The 13,882-nt window shown below is 37.0% G+C and overlaps 1 protein-coding gene across 4 annotated transcripts in view, besides 2 other annotated features; it reads right to left on the reverse strand.

The window, feature by feature from the left end:
* CSNK1A1 (casein kinase 1 alpha 1) overlaps positions 1-13,882 on the reverse strand; it is a 58,458-nt gene that overhangs the window by 11,932 nt on the left and 32,644 nt on the right. For 2 of the 4 annotated variants that reach the window (NM_001025105.3, NM_001271742.2), the window contains 6 exons: positions 12,881-12,964; positions 8,157-8,296; positions 6,881-6,959; positions 4,966-5,040; positions 2,114-2,220; positions 534-682 (listed from right to left, as the gene is read on the reverse strand). In NM_001025105.3, coding sequence (NP_001020276.1) covers positions 534-682; positions 2,114-2,220; positions 4,966-5,040; positions 6,881-6,959; positions 8,157-8,296; positions 12,881-12,964 — 634 coding nt within the window. The remainder of the gene's footprint in view (positions 1-533; positions 683-2,113; positions 2,221-4,965; positions 5,041-6,880; positions 6,960-8,156; positions 8,297-12,880; positions 12,965-13,882) is intronic. The other 2 variants (NM_001271741.2, NM_001892.6) reach the window with 2 other exon arrangements.
* Positions 8,676-8,845: an enhancer, noted in NCBI's record as "experimental_82175 CRE fragment used in MPRA reporter constructs". NCBI's record gives its function as "activates a minimal promoter by MPRAs in K562 erythroleukemia cells, with activity observed for both the introgressed and non-introgressed 5:148893237 or rs77778058 variant alleles {active_cell/tissue: K562}" and the evidence as "EXISTENCE:reporter gene assay evidence [ECO:0000049][PMID:34662402]".
* Position 8,761: a transcriptional cis regulatory region, noted in NCBI's record as "Neanderthal adaptively introgressed variant 5:148893237 (GRCh37/hg19 assembly coordinates) or rs77778058 in the experimental_82175 CRE". NCBI's record gives its function as "modulates activity of the experimental_82175 enhancer by MPRAs in K562 erythroleukemia cells {active_cell/tissue: K562}" and the evidence as "EXISTENCE:reporter gene assay evidence [ECO:0000049][PMID:34662402]".

Consider the following 13,882-nt stretch of genomic DNA (forward strand, 5'->3'; position numbering starts at 1 on the left):
GACACTTTGGGGGTAATGCCAAACTCACCTCTTGAAATTACAACATGTTCACAATTTTCCATTTTAAATGCTAAAGCATTAACATGCAAAATAAAAAATCTTAACATTGTTAGTCTGAAATAAAGTCAAAATATGGCTAACCAAATTCATTATTAGAAATCAACAAGTGTTAGGTCTAGGATTTTGGATTGATTGATTATATTATATTCCCAACACCAAATTTTTGGAAAGGGGGTTAATGAATGAGTAAAAAAGATGCAGTTGTTAAAAAAATGACCCAAAATCCCAAGAGAAATGATATAAATATACACACATATATGTATATACAAATACATATACATATATATGAACAAGGACATTTGGGTTTAAAGTTAGTAGTCAAATTTTCCAAGGACGTCTTTTTTTTTTTAACGCAGAGCCAAATTTTTATGTATTTTAAAACCACCTCCTTGATCTAACACTGTTAGAAATGAATTACCCAATTTTGTATTCAATTTTTTCCCTGTAACGTCACTTGGTTCTTGGCTACTAACCTTTCATGTTACTCTTGGTTTTGTCAGTTTGCTTGCCTGTGGGGGTTTGGGCCTGCTGACCCTGCCCACTGGAAGAGGCTGCCTGCTGTGCTGCTTTCTGCTTTAACATTGTCCAATCAAATGTGTAGTCATATTGATGGTTCAGGGTCCTGGAACACATAAAATATTTTATGTTAATCCTTTAATAACAGAGTCCAGTTATATAACCTACTAACTTTTTAAGACAGTGACAGCATTTCTTTACACAACGAATATTTCCTCAAGTGTGGCAGCTTCTAAAATATTTCTTATTATAGATGAAAAAGGCAGCATGAAAACTGAAACATGAAATCAAGCTGTCAGTTATCTAGGGGAATACTCATAAGAGGAGGTACTTCCTAAAAACAAGTAAGAGTAAATATTCAACTGGAAGTTTGGGAATAAGATGTCTGACTGGTACCTGGGGAAGACACTTTTCTGGGGTTAAAAGATTACCTGAATTCTCTCTTTTTTTTTTTGAGACCATGTTTTGCTCTTGTTGCCCAGGCTGGAGTGCAGTGGTGCAATCTCGGCTCACTGCAACCTCCGTCTCGCAGGTTCAAGCAATTCTCCTGCCTCGGCCTCCTGAGTAGCTGGGATTACAGGCGCCTGCCACCATACCCAGCTAATTTTTGTATTTGTAGCAGAGACGGGGTTTCACCATGTTGGCCAGGCTGGTCTCGAGCTCCTGGCCTCAGGTGATCCACCCCCATCGGCCTCCCAAAGTGCTAGGATTATAGGTGTGAGCCATTGCACCTGGCAGATTACTTGAATTCTTTGTTTTTCTCTTTTGAGACAGAGCCTCATTGTCACCCAGGTTGGAGTGCACTGGGGGGATCTCAGCTGACTGCAACCTCCGCTTCCCAGGTTCAAGAGATTCTCCTGCCTCAGCCTCCCGAGTCGCTGGGATTAAAGGTGAGCACCACCTCACCCGGCTAATTTTTGTATTTTTAGTAAAGATGGGGCTTCACCATGTCGGGCAGGCTGGTCTCTAACTCCTGACCTCAAGCGATCTGCCCGCCTCGGCCTCCCAAAGTGCTGGGATTACAGGCGTGAGCCACCGTACCTGGGCGGATTACCTCAATTCTTACTCTCTTCCAACTAAGAGTTTGAGCCACATGTAATCTATTCCCCCCCCTTTTTCAAGACCAGTTCTGGGTTGTGCCTAAGGAACCCTACCCTAGTTTAGGACTGCTACCACTTGATCAGACTCCATGACTATGTGATATTTTAATTGCTTTTTATTTGGTACTGTACAAAGTTGGAGAGTTCCAGAAGGCACTGACAGCCACTTATATCTAATATGAATTATAACTATTCTGGAAAAGTTACATTCTACTTTGAGTATGATTCAACTCTCTATCCACTCCAAACTAAAATCACCTATTTACACTACAAATAGAAAAATGCCAAATTAGTCCCAAATAAATCAGTTTCTGAAACCTTTTATTCATGTTAGCTAGATCTGCTTTACTTTAGTATTTATCAGAATGAATTTGTTAGGTAAATTTAACCAATTTCCCTCACAGAGTTTATAATCTTAAAATACCTTAAAAACTGACCTGAAAAGAATGCGGAATAGCTGCCTCAGATACATGTAATCTGGGGCTTCCTCAAAGCGTAGCCCACGACAATAGTTTAAGTACATCGCAAATTCTGCAGGAAACCCCTATAGGTTCAAGGGTTAAAACAAAGTTAAAAACAAACATTTCAAGATAGAAAAATAAATGCATTTAAGTATAAGCAAAAAGATATTTTTGGGCGGGATATTTTACCATTTCATAGGAAGATATGAGAGCTAAAATGATGGCTTGGTCTCCTCATAAATTTAAATAAAATTTCATGACCCTACCTACCCTATTATGTACAATATTAGTAGAAGAAATACATATGTTCTTCCCATATAGTGCTTTTCCTATACAGTACTATGTTCTTAAATAACTTACATAGCCCACTTGTTAAAACCTGTCATTTTATCAAAGTCGCGCCTCTTCGTGAACTTTTTTTTTTTTTAAAGACAGGGTCTCAATCTGTCTCCCAGGCTGGAGTGCAGTAGTGTAATCTCAGCTTACTGCAACCTCCACCTCCCAGGCTTCAAGCGATCCTCCAACCTCAGCTTCCTGAGTAGCTGGGACTACAGACACGAGCTACCACGCCCAGCTAATTTTTTGTATTTTTTAGTAGAGACAGGGTTTTGTCAGATTGCCAAGGATGGTCTCAAATTCCCGAGCTCAAGAGATCTGCCCCCCTTGGCCTCCTTGGTCTCCCACAGTGCTGGGATTACAGGTGTGAGCCACCATGCCCAGCCTTCAGAAGTTTCTAAATGGTTGCATGATATTCTACCTAGTATATACATCATTAACTTGTTCTTTATAATTGAACATTTGGATGTATTCTAATTTTTCTCTATTATTAATAATACTGCTAAGTACATCTGTGGGCATAGAATTTTTCCATTTAGCTCCTTAGGAAAGATTCTCAACAATGTATAAACATTTTCAAGGCTCTAGGTATCAGTCACCAAAAGGATTTCCCCAATCAGCAATGTGGAAATACAAAATATTAAAAGAGCACAAACCTCTATATCTCCTCTCCTAGAGTAAATGCCAATGTGGAGAGTGGTAAAGTTAAAGGAGGCAGTCTCTTTCTACAACCTTATGATTGTAGAGTTAAAGTTACAATCTCTTTCTACAACCTTATGAGAAATTTCTCATGTCCTGGAGTTAGGAAGGATAGAATGGAAATGCTTGCAACATTTTTTATTGATTGCACCGATATAAATTGGGTGACCACTTGAAACATATACATATGTTAAAAGATGTAAAATAATACATATTATACATCTTTCTAAAACTCAACATTTATATACATTTATGGCCCGTGTTAATGGTAAACAGTATGACAATGAGACTGAAAACAATCTCACCACTTTATAATTACTATTTTAACTCTCACTGATTTCTTCCCTCAACTATTTATTTGTATACTGCTTTGTACTTAATTTCAGGTATACAATTCTTTCTTGTCTGAAAGACCATATGGCCTTCTTTTTATGGATGAGATCATGGTTATTCATCATGACACAAATACCTCTCTATTCTAAACTCAATTGCCTTTCTATGAAGTTGAAAATTTCAGAAAAAATGAGTGTGATTCAAACTGTCTTCTGTATTCCTGTATTGTTGGACAGCTGCTATTTTGGATTGCTCCAATCTGTCTGCATGTTTCCCTGTTCCTTAATGTACTAATTGTTGATAACCTTTCTTTTCCAGCACTAGTTTAGGGTAAGGAGAATATTTCTTACTTTTTCTTATAGATTAATGAGGTTCTATTGAAAATGTTTACCTGCCCTGTTTATTTACCCCTAGTTTTCAACAGATTAGAGAGCCCTAACAAACCAGAAACATAAAACACTTATTTTACTTACTTAAAACGTTTATTTAACTTATTTTTTATTATTTTACTTATTTTTGTTGTTGTTGAGACAGGGTCTCACTCTGTCACCCAAGCTGGACTGCAGTGGTGCAATCTTGGCTCACTGCAGCCTCGACCTCCTGGGCTCAAGCATCCTGCCCCAGCATCCCCAAGAAGCTGAGATTACAGGCATGCGTCACCATGCCAGGCTAATTTTTGCATTTTTTGTAGCGATGGGGTTTCACCATGTTGCCTAGACTGGTCTGGAACTCCCGGGCTCAAGCGATCCACCCTCCTTCAGCCTACCAAGTGGCTCCTCAACTGTGAGCCACTGTGCCTAGCAAAACACTTATTTAAAAAGACCCCTATGTTAAAAGTCCTTGTTAAAGATATTTAGAATAATAAAAATGTAAATTTAAAATGGTGAATAGCTACCTAATTCAATGTTACAAGTTCCAGAGCTGGCAAATAAAATGTTCCTTTTTCTTCCTGGATCATTCATTCATTCACTCATTTGAGACAGAGTCTTACTCTGTTACCTAGGCTGGAGTGCAGTGGCACAATCTCAGATCCTTGCAAGACAGCCAAGATTCACCACTGCAATTGGAGCCTCCCGGGCTCAAGTGATCCTCCTGCCTCAGGCTCCTGAGTAGCTGGGACCACAGACGTGTATCACTGCACCCAGCTAATTTTTGTATTTTTGGTAGATAAGGTATTTCACCATGTTGCCCAGGCTGGTCTTGTGGAACTTCTGGGCTCAAGTGATCCGCCCACCTCGGCCTTCTAAAGTGCTGGGATTGCAGGCTTGAGCCACTGTGCCCAGCCGGATCATTTATCTATTAAGGTAGAAATGGGGTTTCCCTATGTTGCCCAGGCTGGTCTTGAACTCCTGGGCTCATGTGACCTACTGCCTTGGCCTCCCAAAGTGCTGGGATTACAGGTGTGAGCCATTGTGCCTGGCTTCATTTATATTTTTTTAATATTCATCATGCATACTTACCTTACATAAAACTTCAACAGGCGTGGACATCTTCTTTTCACTAATCTTTTCATATTTTTGTTTCTTTGTTGCAGCCTGTGGAAAAGAATAAAATAAAAAAGATATACTCAGTGCTACTGAGAAGAACCATGGTAGTTTAACGCACTAGACATATAAACATATACCTGTGAGATTCAAGAGAAATTTTAACCCAGAATTTAAAAAATCAAAGTATAATACATCTAAAAAAAATTTTTCCCAAACTGTTAACTTCTGATGTAAGTTTCTTCTCTAAGAATTTAATTTTAGCTATAGGGAAAGGGTGAGTCTAATAGGAATATATGGATATTAGATTTAAGTAAAAATGGCTGGGGCCAAAATTGAAAAGCATTTTCTTTCTTTCTATATATTTTTTTAAGGAGATGGGGTCTCACTATGTTGCCCAGGCTGGAGTGCAGTAGCCATTCACAGGCTCAGCAGTAATTCCCTGTGGCCTCCAACTCCTGGCCTCAAGCAATCCTCCTGATTCAGCCTATCAAGTAGCTGGGACTACAGGTGTGCATCATCATACCCAGCTGAAAAGCATTTTCTTTCCTTTTTCCTTTTCTTTGTTTTTTTGTTTGTTTGTTTGTTTTTTTGAGACAAGGTCTCCCTCGGTTGCCCAGGCTGGAGTGCAGTGGCTCGATTATAGCTCGCTGTAGCCTCGAACTCCTGGGCTCAAAGCAATCCTCCCGGCTCAGCCTCCTGAGTAATTGGGGCTACAGGCATGTGACACTACACCCTGCTATTTTTTTTTTTTAAAGTAGAGGTGAGGTCTTGCCATACTGACCAGGCTGGTCTTGAACTCCTGGGCTCAAGTGATCCGCCTGGCTGGGCCTCCCAAAGTGTTGAAGATTATAGGCATGAGCCACCATGCTCAGCCTGAAAAGCATTTTCTTAACCCATGTTCAACACAAGGGCAAAGGCATCAGATTAATACAAAAAAATTTGTTCATCAATTAGTGACATTAATAAATGGAGTTAACTGTATAAGTCACAATATTTTTCTAAACTAAAAATACTCATATTAGATAAAGCTACCCACCCAAGGACTGAGCACTACAACTAGCTCACAGCCACTCAATAAATACAGGTATTCCTTCAAAGAACTGGTAAGGTACCAAAATAGCCATTAAAATTTAGGACACACCAACAGTGGTGACTCACACCTGTAATCCCAGTTCTTTGGGATGCTGAAGCAGGAGAATCACTTGAGCCCAAGAGTTTGAGACCAGTCTGGGCAACACAGTGAGGCACTGTCTCTACAAAAAATAATTTAAAAATTAGCTGGGCATGGTGGCATGTTCCTGTAGTCCCAGCTACAGGTAGGAGGCTGAGATAGGAGGACTGCTTGAGCCCAGGAGGTTCAGGCTGCAGTGAGCCAGGCATTCCGGCTTGGGCAACAGAGCAAGACCATTCCCCATGCCCCCACCCCCACCCAAAATTAGGATACGGTGATTTATCATTAACATACACTCACAAAAGTAACAGTAAACTCCTAGCTAATAGAAACAAAATGTTAGGACATGTATTGCTGGATAAACAGGTCTTGCTGTACATAAAAACATACATTTTCAACATAATGGCAACACATCAAAATGAGAAAGTCTCCACCTTTCTTAGTCCATGCCCACTTCCATCTAGATAGAGCTAGTGGCTACCAGTGGGTACCAGCTTACTGTCTCTTAGAGGACACTGTTCTTCAGCTGAACTAAGTTCTTACTAAAATGATCTGGTTTCATTTTCCCAGATAAAAGGTAAAAAGTAAATTAAGGTTAATTCTTTATATCTCAGAAAAATCTCAGACTTAGAAGGGACCTTAAATCTTATCTTCTCCAATATATATTTTTATTCTAAAAAAGAGAGAGAAAAATCTGATAATGTGAGTCTGGTTTACCTTTAGCCCTTGCCATGGCAGGCTGGTTCTATTAAAATACATCAAAACATATCCTAATGATTCCATGTCATCTCGGCGACTAGAAAAGAGAACGTAATTTTATAAACTGGAACTATTATTATGAAAAAACATATGAAAGAAAGTCAAGTACCCAGAAGAAATGTTCCCAAATGAGGAGGGAACACTATTTGGTGTCTTACGCAAGAAGCTACTTATTTAAGGTGATTTTAAAAAGTTCATGTGTTACCTACCTCTAAACAAAACTTTTTCCATGGAATCCAAAATCTGACAAACAACTGTCTTACAATTTAATTTTAAAAGAACAGAAACGATTTGGCTAAACAACCCTCTAAATGAGCTTAATGAACCAAGCAGGATGACATTTCTATGTTTTGCAGAAACTCATTAAAAAAAAACTTCAGAAGTACTGAAAAGGAGTTACAACTTAAAACTAATTGAACATCTATATGAATGTATTCATGCATACATATCTATATACACATACATACAAATATATATTTAGATATATATATATTTAAGGATAGGTAATGCCTTGGCGTACAGAAAAAGTGACATTACAGTTTAACCTAGATCATTCAGATATTCATGGATATTTCTTAAGCCTGAAATTCTTGGTATGAGGTTCTTTAACCTGGAGGCATATCATTGTTTTTTCTACTTATTACTTCTATGCTAGTTTTAAGGAGCAAAAAGTGACTGTAAAAGATGAAAGGAACTCGAAACTCTAGAACTCATGTGAAGAAATAGGAAGAGAGCAGAGACTGTTACTTTTTTTACTTTAAACTAGATCCTATTAATTTATATATTTGAGTGAAGTATAACAGGAGATGGTCCATCAACCCACTTTTGGTTTATTAGGACACTGATAACATTTTCCTTTTAAAAATAAATAATGCATTCTTCCCAAACTCAGCGTGAATTACTAAAGTATAAAAAGCCCCAAATAGCTCTAAAAATATATGTACTATCTTCAGCTGCAAAAAGAAACGTCAACATTGCACTTATGCTTCTAACTTTCTATCACGCAGTATTTTCCCCCCAAGAGACAACCTTCAACAACAACAAAAAATCCAGAAGACCTCATTTAACGGTCTTCTCTACACTGGTTAAAGCAGCAGGTAAAATGATTAATAAGCATCCTTCAAATCCTCAGCCAAGAAACATCCTTAGACATTGTAAGAAACTAAAATATTTCAAAAACCCATTGATGGCTTCTGCTATGGCTATGATAAGCACATTCCATTTTCGAACTTACCTCTGCTCAATACCAAGATGTGCATTGATGCTAGCATATCGGGCAGTGCCAGTGAGGTTTTTATCTTCTCTGTATGGTATGTGTTGCCTTGTCCTGTTGTCTCTGTACTTTTTGGCCAAACCAAAATCAATAAGGAATAACTTTAAAAGAGAAATACAGAAACATTAGGTTTCCAACCTTGTTCAATTAAACTGCGTCTTATTCATTAAATGGTATCTATTCTATGCATTCAAATATATCAAAATAAAGTATCCTAAGTATTAATAGAACAGATAATGAACAGACTTAACACCCCCCCATAAGCTTTTACTAGTCTTCATCAATAAATCAAGTTAAAAAAAAAAAGTCTAGTAGTTTATCCTTGTCGTTTGCAGATTTCACAGGCCCATTTCATTACATACTCAGGAACCTGTCTTTATAAAGAAAGAAATGTATACATGCTTGACAGCAGAAGCAACAAGTGTGCTATCTGTCATAATGACACCTGATAGTCTGTACACCTGTTACTACTGGTAAACAAACATGAGGTTTCAAAATCTAGATATAATGGCCGAGCGCGGTAGCTCACGCCTATAATCCCAGCACTTTGGGAGGCTGAGGCAGGCGGATAACTTGAGGTCAGGAGTTCAAGACCAGCCTGACCAAACATGGCAAAGTCCCACCTCTACAAAAAATACAAAAATAGCCGGGCATGGTGGCACATGCCTGTAGTCCCAGCTACACAAGAGGCTGAGGCAGGAGAATCGCTTGAACCCGGGAGGCAGAGGTTGCAGTGAGCCAAGACCGCGTCACTGCACTCCAGCCTGGGTGACAGAGCAAAACTCTTTCTTAAAAAAAAAAAAAAAATCCAGATATAAACTATCTGAACTCTTCCCTCCTACAAAGGCCATTCTTAAATGTGCCAACAGAATACTTGTTATCTACCCTAAAAGTCTGACATTGCCAATGAAACCAAGACTTTTTATTAATAAAAAATACTACTTAGCACTGACATTATACAAATGGGTCAGGTTAAACTTCTGGAAAATTTAACAAGTTGATATAAAAATCCCCCCAAAAAGCGCTTAGCATTTAAATCAAGGTGGCTTACAATTAGCAGTTTAAGTGAGCTAACTAAAAACAAAAACTAGTGTTTAGAACAAAATAACGTTTAGTGTTATCATGTCTATATGGTACTCAGGGAATAAGGTATTCATTTATAATGTAGCTAATTGTTGTATGTAATTCAAGTTTACACTCCAGAACTTAAGCCTTTTATAAGTAAATAACTATTTTTATGAAAAAGAAATCCAAAACATATTCATATTTACCTACCATATGAAAAGAAATAATCTTTACTTAAAATTTTGGCTTTTGTCATAAAATCACCTATTATGCTATATTTTAATAAAAGTTAATCTACAAATATTAAGCTAGGCAGGTCTATGTGCCCTTACACTATATAGCCCTAGTCTGTTGTTCTCTAGTTACTCCTAAATTTTGTAGTTCTTCTCTCCATTAGACTACTGGGTCCCTTTTGCCAGTTTATAATTTGTGATGTGCTGGGAAACTTGATCACCTAACCTGCAGATTTCATGTCAATAAATAAAGCAAGTTACTGATTTAGGTTATAAAGATCTGACCAGTACCTCTCCTAGGAGCATGAGTAACATCTATTTCAGCCAAGCATTATAACCTATTCTCAATTATACTTTGGACAGTAAAGACACTGACAGTTGAGCTTCAGTCACCATGTCAACGAGATACTGATTTTTACTTAGTCTACTATAAAAGAATGAAGATTAAATTATTAGTAAATGTTAACTGGATGATGAAGACTCTCAAAGTAAAAAGATTAAACTCCCTTCCTAAGCAATCAAGTCATTACAGGAAAATTTGTGTTGTAAAACACTAAGAAATAAAGCTTATACTTTAAGTTTCTCTTGATATGAAAACCAGATCAGTACACAAATATTAAAATGAGCAAAATACATTTGTTAAGCAAAACAAAAGTGATGATTAAGTTCTGCAGATTCATAGTGAAAAGAAAACATGGGGAAAATAAACACAAAAGGACATTCAGCTTCATGGTATTTAAAAAATATCTCTAAGAAATATGTAGACATTGAATGAAGAGTGATTAGTACATAGAATTTCCTCCAGTTCACATTTTCTAGGATTGCTTCCTTTGGTACTTTAAAATGAAGGACAAAAGGGAAGAGCTCTGACATGAGTATGTCTAACAGTTTCATTCATGTCTAAATCTACATTCAATAGCTTCATTTGTGACTCAATAACCAGACACTTTCTCACAACCAAAAGACTGCTTTATAAAAATTCAGTGTTCGCTGGAGAGTTCTTTCCTCCCACAACGCTAAAGGAGGAAACCTTATTTATCAAGTAAACTACAAATATGTAAACACGATCTTCTTAAACATCTCAATCTAAAAACAAAAATCTAAAGAGCAAATAATTTGAAATGTTCTCCTCTTATAAAAACTGAAAATACATCAGGAAAAAAATGTTAGTACTGAACAAAGATAGCCTATTCTCAGTAAACAACTGAAAGGAAAACTACTTGAAATTAAAAAAGGAAATAAAACTATTGGTGGTTCATTACCTTCGGGTACCTATCAAGCTTCTTTAGTAGCTCTCTCTGTATGCTTTGCTGTTTAAAACTAATAAATATAAACATATAATGGAAATGTTTACATGAAACCACATGATGCCAAAGATACAACCAAAAAGCTGTAAATATGTAAAGGCAGAACCAAATGAGGAAAAGTCAGTATCAAATAAGCGTAAGATAATGCATTTTTACTATAGGCTTTTATGTGCAAAGACACAGGCACTTCCTTCAGTGAATCAAGCTCCTTTTCTGTGGATTTTTACTAACTACATGTTATGAGTAAAATCTGCGCCCATTTTAAACAATGCAGCCTATTCTTCAAAGGCACAGGGAACTGAGTTGATAAATAGGGGATAATTTGACCAGGTGCAGTGGCTCATGCCTATAACGCCAGCATTTTGGGAGGCCAAGGCAGGTGGATCACTTGAGGTCAGGAGTTCAAGACCAGTCTGGCCAACATGGTAAAACCCCATCTCCACTAAAAATACAAAAATTAGCCGGGCATGGTGGCGCATACCTGTAATCCCAGCTATTCGGGAGGCTGAGACAGAATTGCTTGAACCTGGGAGGTGGAAGTTGCAGTGGGCCAAGATCGCACCACTGCACTCTACACTCCTGCCTGGGCAACAGAGTGAAACCCCGTCTCAAAACAAAACAAAAAAACCCCCCAAAAAAAACAAAAAATAAAACCAAAAACCAAAAAAAGTAGGGGGATAATTCCATAATTCCATTCAATAGAGGCACATTTTCTTCAAAATCACTGTGGCTAATCTTAGTGTTTAGTACTTGCAGCATTTTTTTTTTTTTCCTAACCAGGGGTCATAATTTCCCTTGCCCTTCTAAAACATTCACAAGGTCACTTTACTAAAAACCTAGCTAACCTGTATGTACAAAATCTAAACAATGTAATACAACTTTCTTTGTAAATTATTAAATGATGCTACGAAATGTAAGCAAAATATGTGAATGGGTAAGTAAAAATGAGGCACTATAAAACTAGTTTTATTCTTATAATATGCCTAATGATCCACCATCTACTGTCTTCCCCCCACCCCTTATCTAACTAGTCACAATACTTGGTACTTCTTTGCCTGAATAAAAATAACTCTGAATTTCTGAAACCTTTTTTAATAGCTGGAGGTGGTTCCTGGAATAAAGCTGGGCAGTATGGAAAAGGGTTAAATGATTATCCAGATGATACATGTGGATAATTTAAGGTATTACAAAGCATGTTTTTTGTTTTTTGATTATTCATGCCAATACTTCCTCTTCACTGTATACTAAACTGAATGATTAAGATTCATTTGCTCAGGAGCATGAACATTTATGAACTTAAATTTTGTGATAAAAAAGCTATTTAACTTCAACAAAAGTGTAACAAAATATGAAGAGTTCTACTTACAAATTTAGAAAATTAGTAGGGTGTTTATCCAGCCTGCCAAAAACTAAATTTAATATATTTCAATGTATTACTAATGGTAATCTACCATATAACTTGATAAGTGCTTAAGCTATGTTATTGTTATATTGTTAAGAATGCAGTATCTTCTAGTTCCAGAGCCTATAATGCTCTGTAAATATCCATTTGCTAGAAGTTGAGAATACAGACTGAGGAAATAAGTTCTAGAAACACTAGATCTGAAATCTGATCTACACTTACCTGAAGTTCCTTAGGGAAGGGGAAGAGAGGTGAGGTAGAATATATTCATTATACAGCACTAATGAACTGAATTTAAATATATTTCGTGCATTAAGTTGTGTAACTCCAAATAAATTTTTAAAAACTAACGATCTATCTCAAGTTTACTATTAGGTAAACAATTTCAGTACTAGACCAACATCATTTCCTCATATGTATGTTAGAGAGCTAAACATAATATCCTATTTTCATTTAGCTTTTTTCTAAACTTTATAAGTTTTAAGCAAAAGCCACAAAGAAATATCTTAGTAATGTTATGTTTGCCAAGTATGTCTGAATAATGCCAACGTAAGAGGTGCTTGAGCAAGATCTACATTCTCCAGAATTAAAACAAAACAAAAATCATCAAAATAAAACAATAAAAAAGAAAAGCACATGAATTTGGGATTGAGGTTGGAATAGGAGACAGTTTCAGACCTGGTTTAATCCTGAGAAAGATGGGTCCTGAGAAGTACTAACAGTCATGCTTCTTTTCCTCTTCCCCACTGGAGATTCTAAACACTAAACAGACAATAGAGGGTGGCAGTGCATCAAACAGTATTGCTTACATTGCAACAATGGCCGGCGCAGACAGGCAACACCGAGGCATTAGAGAAAGAACAGGGTAGCCAAATGCCATCCTTCTTCCACCAAGCACTGTAGCTTCTCAGTTTTCCAAATAAGAATCACATGCTCAAGAACATTTGAATTCTGGAAATTACTCAGGTTTTTAATGCCACTATTTTGTGTCACTGCCTGAAACAGGGATAGCAATGGTGACATTTGGCTCTTTTATATTTTTAATCAAAAATGGGGAATTTAGATCTGCAATCTTTGGTACCACAATCTGCCCTTCCCCCCCAAAAAAATATTGTACGGGGGAAAAAAATCTTCAGTAAGGAAGAGGTAGAAGGCATTTAGTCACCTTAAAATTTATTTTCGTAAGCATGCAGGGCTGATTACTGGAAGAGATGAGCAAATTCACTAAGATTGGAGTGGCCACTCCTAAATATCAAATTCAGAACAATTTTCCAAATAAGAAATTTAACTTTAAAAATTGTCCTCAAAAGCCCCCCAAAACCTTTTTTTCCCCATGAATAGAAAACTACTGGAACAAGCTGACCAAAGAATCCAGTCTCATACAACTGGCATTTTTCAAACTACAATACAGAAAACACTAAAAATCAACTACATAAACAAAACACTAATCTAAAATGTTCAAGAGCAACATTTAGCATTTGAATCTTAGTTGAGTAAAACACTTTGCTTCTTCCCCATGGCCTCTCTAAAACAGTGTTAAGCAGCAAGCAGCTCCACAAAATTATTTTTAATATCTCAAGGAGAAAAGGAGACCTAAACCTCCTAAAAAGGTTTTCACCACTAGATAACTTACACTTCCTTAAGACAACTATGCGATTAACAAGCTATTCTTAAGGGGGT

The sequence above is a fragment of the Homo sapiens genome, chromosome 5, assembly GCF_000001405.40.
Source record: "Homo sapiens chromosome 5, GRCh38.p14 Primary Assembly".
NCBI lineage: Eukaryota > Metazoa > Chordata > Mammalia > Primates > Hominidae > Homo > Homo sapiens.